Source organism: Homo sapiens, chromosome 1, assembly GCF_000001405.40.
Source record: "Homo sapiens chromosome 1, GRCh38.p14 Primary Assembly".
NCBI classification, from domain to species: Eukaryota; Metazoa; Chordata; class Mammalia; order Primates; family Hominidae; genus Homo; species Homo sapiens.
In genome coordinates, this window is record NC_000001.11 from 88,891,220 (window position 1) to 88,899,239 (window position 8,020).

An 8,020-nucleotide genomic window follows, 5' to 3' on the forward strand; every position below is an offset into this window, starting at 1 on the left:
GACACAGTAGCCCACCAGGACCCACATAGGGTGATATCTACATAAGACTCCAGGGCAATAACGTCAACAGCTCGGTAACCCCTGCGACACCCTGACAGTCCTGCCGTCTGGAAGTGCCTTTGTCCCGGCCCGTCGGCCAGTCCCGCCGCTTCTCTCCCATACCCCTAGGCGCTCAGCCCTACGAGGCTGCCCGGAGGCCGCCTAAAAGCCGGCGGCGCTCGCGCCCGCCCCTCAGCTCGCCGGGCTCGGCGGGACATACTAACCGGCTGGTAGACGCCATCTTCACGGCGACTGCGGTGCCCGCAACAAGACACAACAGACACACCGAAAGCAGGAAGCGAATGTGGCGAAGAGACGCGCAGAGATGAGTTTTTATAGACGACTCACCCACGCAGTCGTAGCAGAGCAGGGCTACGGGTCGGGAGAAGGGCCAAGAACAGTGAGATCCCATACGTCACGTGCTTTGCGATTTCTTACGTTCTTACTCCGTTTCTGTAATTTGCTATGTTGCTAAGCGAGTCAACGTAACTACCTAGGAAAAGTCTCATGGGAACCCTGCAAAGGGGCTACAACAGAGCTACTCTCAATCTGACAGTTAAAACACAAAGAAAACCCTGGCTTCGTAGTGGTGCCAAAGCCTGCATCCCTAATAGTTTAACCACCCCTTCCTCTCCCACCTTCTCACGGCTACCTTCTCACGGCCACCACCTACCCCGCCCCCAGCCCCCCACCCCGCGTCAGGCACTCCCATTTGAGCCAGTTCTTACGTGCCCCAAGGGTGATTCTTTCTAAGAAATTTGAAATAAAAGGAGAAACTCACTTAGGTCATCCAGAACAGGTGTCTGTTCAGGATCTGTCATCAGCTAGCATGTTGTCTTCTTAGGCACGTCCTTTATACAGGTCATGTAAGTTTATATAGGTTATGGTATCTTGCCTTGCATACCCTTTTAGAATTGGCAGAAGATGAAACAAAACTACGTGAAACCAATGTGTACACAAGAGGCACGACGATATGGGCCATGCTCTGATCATTTTTTTTTCACGGCCTTTGTAACGTTGGCTGATAGCTACATATAGAAAACTTGCGAGAACATCTAGATATTGCAAAATATCCCTAGATTTATTAATTAGCCAAACTAACGTCAAAATTGTAATACCACTATTACTAACAACAATAACAGTTACCGGTGGAGAGTATTCACGTTCTTGGCGTTTTGAACAAAGAACTGGACACAACGCACAAACTAAGGAAAGAATGAAGGAATAAAGGCAGAGATTTATTGAAAACGAAAAGGTAATACCAGCTCAAGACTCCTTTTGCAGAATTTTCGGGGGTTTAAATACCCTCTAGAGGTTTCCCATTGGTTACATGGTGTACACCCTATGTAAATGAAGTAGTGGCTCCACAATCAGTCTGATTGGTTGTGGAAAGCAACCAATCAGAGGCTAAAGTGAAGTTACAAAGTTACACTCCTATGCAAGCGTCTGATTGGTTGCAGAAAGCAACGAATCAGAGATACTTTCAATTTCACATCTGCCACACGGCTAAAGTGTGTGTGTGTGTGTGTGTGTGTGTGTGTGTGGTTGTGTAGTGGGGAGGGGGTTGCAAAGGGAGTAACGTCTGGTTCTTTTGTTACTTAGGTGTGGAAAGTTGGGGTTTTCCTTTTTTTTTTTTTTTTTTGAGACGGAGTCTTGCTCTGTCGCCCAGGCTGGAGTGCAGTGGCGCGATCTGGGCTCACTGCAAGCTCCGCCTGCCAGGTTCACGCCATTCTCCTGCCTCAGCCTCCCGAGTAGCTGGGACTACAGGAGCCTGCCACCACGCCCGGCTAATTTTGTTTTTGTATTTTTAGTAGAGACGGGGTTTCACCCTGTTAGCCAGGATGGTCTTGATCTCCTGACCTCGTCATCCGCCCGCCTTGGCCTCCCAAAGTGCTGGGATTACAGGCGTGAGCCACCGCGCCCGGCCGGGGTTTTCCATTTGATTTAGTTCTAGGAAATCAGTGTGAATCTGCCTTAGGTTCCCTGCCTTCAGACAGTATTCTCCTGCGGCAACACTTTGCTGACAACTATTCTTGAAAATACGGGGATTGGTATTTTCATGGTGGTTTTCATGGGGCTGAGAACTTAGAAGATAATGACTGCTTCCTTCATCTGGGGATGGGATTTAAATGTAATGGAGCACTCACTGTTTTCTTGAGAAGGTGGGAGATACTAGCTTCCTTAGAAAGAAAAAGGGGTGCGAGAGGCAGGATTTTAGGAACTCAAATCTAGGTGGGAACCGGGGAGCATGATTTCTTTTTTCTTTCCCAATCCCAATCTTCTATTTTGTAATTCTGTAATTTTAAAAACTTGACTGTACTCTTGTGGGGGTTTTTTCCTCCCTCAATATTTTTGTCAAGTGCAACCAGGAAAGGGCTTGGGGGTGCTGCACCTCAGTCCAGTAGAGGTTTCATAGTAAAGCATCTTAACTTGGAGGAAGAGGAGGAATAAGACAACTGTGCATCTCTTAAGGATCCAGAACATGGACCTGCACCTAGTGGATTCATGGTAGGCATTCAATAATGTTTGTTGAAGGAAGAAATTGAAACCCTAGAAAAGGGAGGCAGCACTACTGGTTAAATTAACTCCTGCCCCACCTGGAGAGTCTCTTGTCTGTCATAAACTTGTAAGAATTTCTTTTGTATTAAAATAGAAGGCACCTTAGGTAAGCCATTCGTTTTCTTTTGTTAGTACAGCACTGGAAATTTACAAAGCATTTTAATCAACATAATCCCATTTAATATTTATTATTGATCTTGAGGTTAAAATACACACACACACACACACACACACACACACACACAGAGCTGGGGTTTTATCACTTGGGAACCAATAACCTAACTAGCATTCACCAAAACTTCTGGTTTGTATAATAATTGTTACTTAAATTAATTATGTAAATTAAAATGATTTAAAGCAATGGTTTAAATTAATTCATCTTTTTACTTAGAAAGTTATTCGAAAAGTTTATATCACTACTGTGAAATCTCAAGTTGATGTGCTATAGTTCATTTTAAGTATAAAATGTTTTACATGACTAATAAATGATTTAAAAATGCTTGTGACCCACCTGGCATCGTGAATCACGCCTGTAATCCCAGCACGTTGGGAGGCCGAGGCAGGTGGATCACCTGAGGTCAGGAGTTCAAGACCAGCCTGGCCAACATGGTGAAACCCTGTCTCTCCCAAAAATACAGAAATTAGCCAGGTGTGTTGACACACACCTGTAGTCCCAGCTACTTGGGAGGCTGAGGCAGGAGAATCGCTTGAACCCAGGAGGTGGAGGTTGCAGTGAACCAAGATTGCACCACTGCACTCCAGCCTGGGTGTCAGAGCGAGACTCCATCTAAAAAAAAAAAAAAATGCTTGTGACCTAGCTAGATTTCTTTTTTAAAAATCAACTTTATTGAGATATAATTACATATAGTAAAATTCACCTGTTTAAAATTTAATGATTTTTGGCAACTGAGTTGTACAACCATCCCCGCAATCCTGTTTTAGCACATTTCCATCATCCCAATACGATCTTTTATGCCCATTTACATTATATGCCTATCCCATTTCCAGCCCCATGACCCTCTAATCTACTCTCTGTCTCTATGGATTTGCCTTTCTTGGGCTTTTCATATAAATGGAATCATATGATACGTCGTCTTTTGTGTCTGGATTATTTTACCTGTCATAATGTTTTAGAGGGTCATTAGATTTACCTCATGGTTTCACTTTTGAAAACATTTTTAAGTGTCTGCATGGTGATGTTGGAGAAGATGGCAATTCCCCAACTTAAGCAAGGCTTCAGAAATATTTGTTTGGAAATTAAAAGACATATCCTCTTGGACTAGGAAGAACAGAGGATTTGATGGAATGTATGAACAGACCAGATCCTACTAGACTCTTTTGGAGATGGAAAAAGATGCCTAGGATATTAGACAAGCCTCATGTGCCTGGTGGCTATAAGACCATATGTATTGTTCCTAAAAATGTGAAGGTTTTTTAAATTTCTCAGATTTTAAAATTATGTTTGAGAATGTTCAAACACAAAAATGGGACAGAATAATGGGAATAATATTATAAATCCCCATCATACCCATCATCCTGATTACACAGTTATCAAGATGTTGACACATTTGTTTCATGTATCCTTCTCTTTACTTCTCCGTTTGCTGAATTATTTTAAAACAAAGTTTATCTATTACCTGAACCCATATATACATTTATGTACATCTCTTAGAAATACGGACTTTTAAACCTTTTTTACATAGCAATATAATACTTACCAAGTCACCAGTGATATCTTAACACACCAAGTTTTCAGCTGGAGGTGGTCCTGGGCCTGCTTCTTGGTTTGGTTTCACCAAGCAAAAGAGTAAGTCCCTGCTGAAGCCGAGGCAGTGCAATGGGGTCTGGAAGCCAAATTTCACCCTTCCAATATGAGAACTATCCCTCACCCCTACTTGCCCCTCCACAGTATTATGAGGGTACCTGCATTGCAGTGCATAGAGGCGAAGGGACTGGGAGGCTGGTGGAGCATCATAGAAATTGGAGAGCAATGCAGATTGCTCATCATTTGGAAGTTGGCTTTATTATGTCTGCATCTAAGTTTTTCTTTTTCTTTTTTTCTGAGTGGAATAGATCTCTAACATGCAGGTTTTGCAGTACAGGTGTCCAAGGTTGTATTCTTAAAAATAGGACAGCTACACTTTTCTATTTTTAAGAATAATACATTCCTCACACACCTAATGCTGTGTAGTAGAAGCTTGGTGGGAGGGAGCCAGAGAGTGAAAAAAAGAGGGTCCCTGGAGAAGCTACAAGAAATAGTTGAGTTATTTGAAGTAGGCTCCATCCAGGTCTTTATGCATCAGGCCTCTGCCAGGCACTTCACATTTTATCTTAGCTACTTCTTGGTTATCTTGTCAGGCAAGTATTATTATTATTTTGCTTCTAAAGGCTTAGAGAGGTCAAGTAGGTAAATTTCCCAGGGTCACACAATAAGTTAGTGATGTAGGTAGAATTCACAGCCAGAAACGACTGATTCTAAAGTTTTCCTGCTTATGGCTGCCCATGGTGGCTCACTCCTGTAGTCCCAGCACTTTGGGAGGCCAAGGAGGGAGGATCATTTCAGCCCAGGAGTTTAAGACCAGCCTGGCTAACATAAAGAAACCCCATCTCTACAAAAAATATAAAAATTAGCCCGGTGTGGTGGCACGTCCCTGTAGTCCTAGCTACTTGGGAGGCTGAGGTGGGAGGATCACCTGAGTTCAAGGAAGTTGAGGCTGCAGTGAGCTGAGATCATGCCACTGCACTCCAGCCTGGGCACAAAGTGAAACTCTGTCTAAATAAAATAAAATAAAATAGGCTGGGCACAGTGGCTCACGCCTGTAATCCCAGCACTTTGGGAGGCCAAGGTGGGCGGATCACAAGGTCAGGAGTTTGAGACCAGCCTGGCTAATATGGTGAAACCTCATCTCTACTAAAAGTACAAACATTAGCCGGGTGTGGTGGTGGGCACCTGTAGTCCCAGCTACTAGGAAGGCTGAGGGAGGAGAATCACTTGAACTCAGGAGGCAGAGATTTCAGTGAGCTGAGATCGCACCACTGCACTCCAGCCTGGGTGACAGAGCAAGACTCTGTCTCAAAATAAATAAATAAAATAAAATAAAATTTTCCTGTTTCTATGCATGCATACCATGTAACTGTGATTGCAAGACTATATTTTAAGGCCCAAATTACTGTGCTGTGGAAAATACAGATTATATTTGTAGAAGTATTTACCATCTTTTTGATTTTTAAATAAGGGCTATAAAATTGTATTTAAATTTAGGTAGAAGTAGTAATCAAAATTAATAATCGTGATATTAAGAATAGTAGCAATCATTCATATAGTATTTATTTATGTGCCAGGTACTATTTTAAGGCTTTGCATATATTAACTCATTCAGTCTTTCCAACAACTTTGTAAGTTGAGTACCATTATTGTTCCCACTTCACAGATGGAGAAAGTGAGGTACAGAATGGTTAAGGAACTAGCCTGAGTTACATAGCTAGTAAATGGCAGAGCTGGGATTGCAGCCCTGACAAATTGGCACCAGAATCCATGTAGTATATCTCCTAATAGCAATACAATGTGCGGAAATATAGATACACCGATTTTAAGATCAAGAAATAGATTCCACAAGAAGTGTAACTGCAGCAATCATGTGGACTTGATTTTATGGGGCAGCTGTGATCCAAAATATTCTAGGCAGTTGTCTGCACAAGGACACTTGTGTTTGTCGGATCATGTGCTCCCTAAACTGAAATGTGCTTGGCTCATATCCCATTGCTAAATGTACTTGCATGTGTGATCCTGAATTTAACTGTTGTATTTGTTTCTTTACAGATTTATTTGAAACTCTGGTGTGGTGGTTAATACTAAGTGTCAACTTGATTGGATTGAAGCATGCCAAACTATTGATCCTGGGTGTGTCTGTGAGAGTGTCACCAAAGGAGATTAACATTTAAGTCAGGGGGCTGGGGAAGACAGACCCACCCTTAATCTGGTGGTCACAATCTAGTCAGCTGCCAGCTGCTATAAAGCAGGCAGAAAATCCTGAAAAGGCGAGACTGGCCTAGCCTCCCAGCCTCCATCTTTCTCCTGTGCTGGGTGCTTCCTGCTGTCAAACATCAGACTCCAAGTTCTTCAGTTTTGAGCTTTGGATTGGCTCTCCTTGCTCCTCAAGCTTGCAGTCAGCCTATTGTGGGACCTTCTGATCGTCTAAGTTAATACTTAATAAAATCCTGTATATACACATATAGTTAGTGTGTGTGTGTATATATATATATGTGTGTATATATGTGTATATATATGTGTATATATGTGTGTGTGTGTATATATATATATGTATATATACGTATATATAGTTAGTTCTGTCCCTCTAGGGAACTCTGACTAATACAGATTTTAGTACCAGGAATGGTTCTAGAGGAACAGAATATTAAGGATGGAGTTCTTTCGTTGGTTTTTGGGTTTCTGGAGTTGGCTGCTTAATATGATTACACCCAAAATTGCTAAGGACTCTACTTCTAATAGTGTGGAGAACACTGATAGTACTTGGTGTGAACTGTTTAGAGAAATGCATTTGGCACTCGGATTCACTGCTCATGAGAGGCAAGAAGTTTAGTGACTCTATACATAATACCTTTGACCATATGTGGAGAACCAAGGAACATTATGAAGCTGGTTGGTTGCTCCTAAGTTCAGTGGACAAAGTGATGAAAGAAAATGATGAACTTAGGAATTCTGTCTCCTGGCTTCAGAAGCAGATATTGAGCCTCAAATCTGCTAAGATTGTCCTGAGTGAGAGTCTTGTTTTTTTTGAGACAGAGTCTTGCTCTGTCGCCTAGGCTGGAGTGCACTGGTGCAATCTCAGCTCACTGCAACCTCTGCTTCCGGGTTCAAGCGGTTCTCCTGCCTCAGCCTCCTGAGTAGCTGGGATTATAGGCATGCGCCACCATGCCCGGCTAATTTTTGTATTTTTAGTAGAGATGGGGTTTCACCATGTTGGTCAAGCTGGTCTTGAACTCCTGACCTTGTGATCCGCCTGCCTCAGCCTCCCAAAGTGCTAGGATTACAGGTGTGAGCCACCATGCCCCGCCTGAGTAAGAGTCTTATGTCCTGTAAAGAAAGAGTTGAAATTGTGGAAAAACAGACACAAGCTCTTATGTGAGTGACTGACATGCAATGAAAGGTGCATGCACAGCCTCACCAGGTGTCTACTGTTAAAGTGAGATTGATTGGAAAATAATGGGACCCTGCAACTTGGAATGGGGACATGTGGGAGGACCCTGATGAAGCTGGGGACACTGAGTTTGTAAACTCTGATGAACCTTGTTTGCCAGAAGAATCAGCTTTTCCATCTCCAGTAGTGGCAACATCCCCTCCCTGACACATGCTGCCATCAGCCTTTGCACCTTTGTCTGAGTAGATGAACCCTGTGCTGCC

At 43.0% G+C, this 8,020-nt stretch overlaps 1 protein-coding gene across 2 annotated transcripts in view, besides 1 other annotated feature; it reads right to left on the reverse strand.

Annotated features, from left to right (window-relative positions):
- Positions 1-348, reverse strand: part of GTF2B (general transcription factor IIB) — a 38,935-nt gene extending 38,587 nt beyond the window's left edge. For both annotated transcript variants that reach the window (XR_007059241.1, NM_001514.6), the window contains exon 1: positions 264-348. Coding sequence is in view for 1 of the 2 variants with exons in the window: in NM_001514.6 (NP_001505.1) it covers positions 264-280 (17 nt within the window). In the remaining variant the exon portion in view is untranslated. The remainder of the gene's footprint in view (positions 1-263) is intronic.
- Positions 524-633: an enhancer, noted in NCBI's record as "active region_1293". NCBI's record gives its function as "activates an Ori minimal core promoter by ATAC-STARR-seq in GM12878 lymphoblastoid cells {active_cell/tissue: GM12878}" and the evidence as "EXISTENCE:reporter gene assay evidence [ECO:0000049][PMID:35858748]".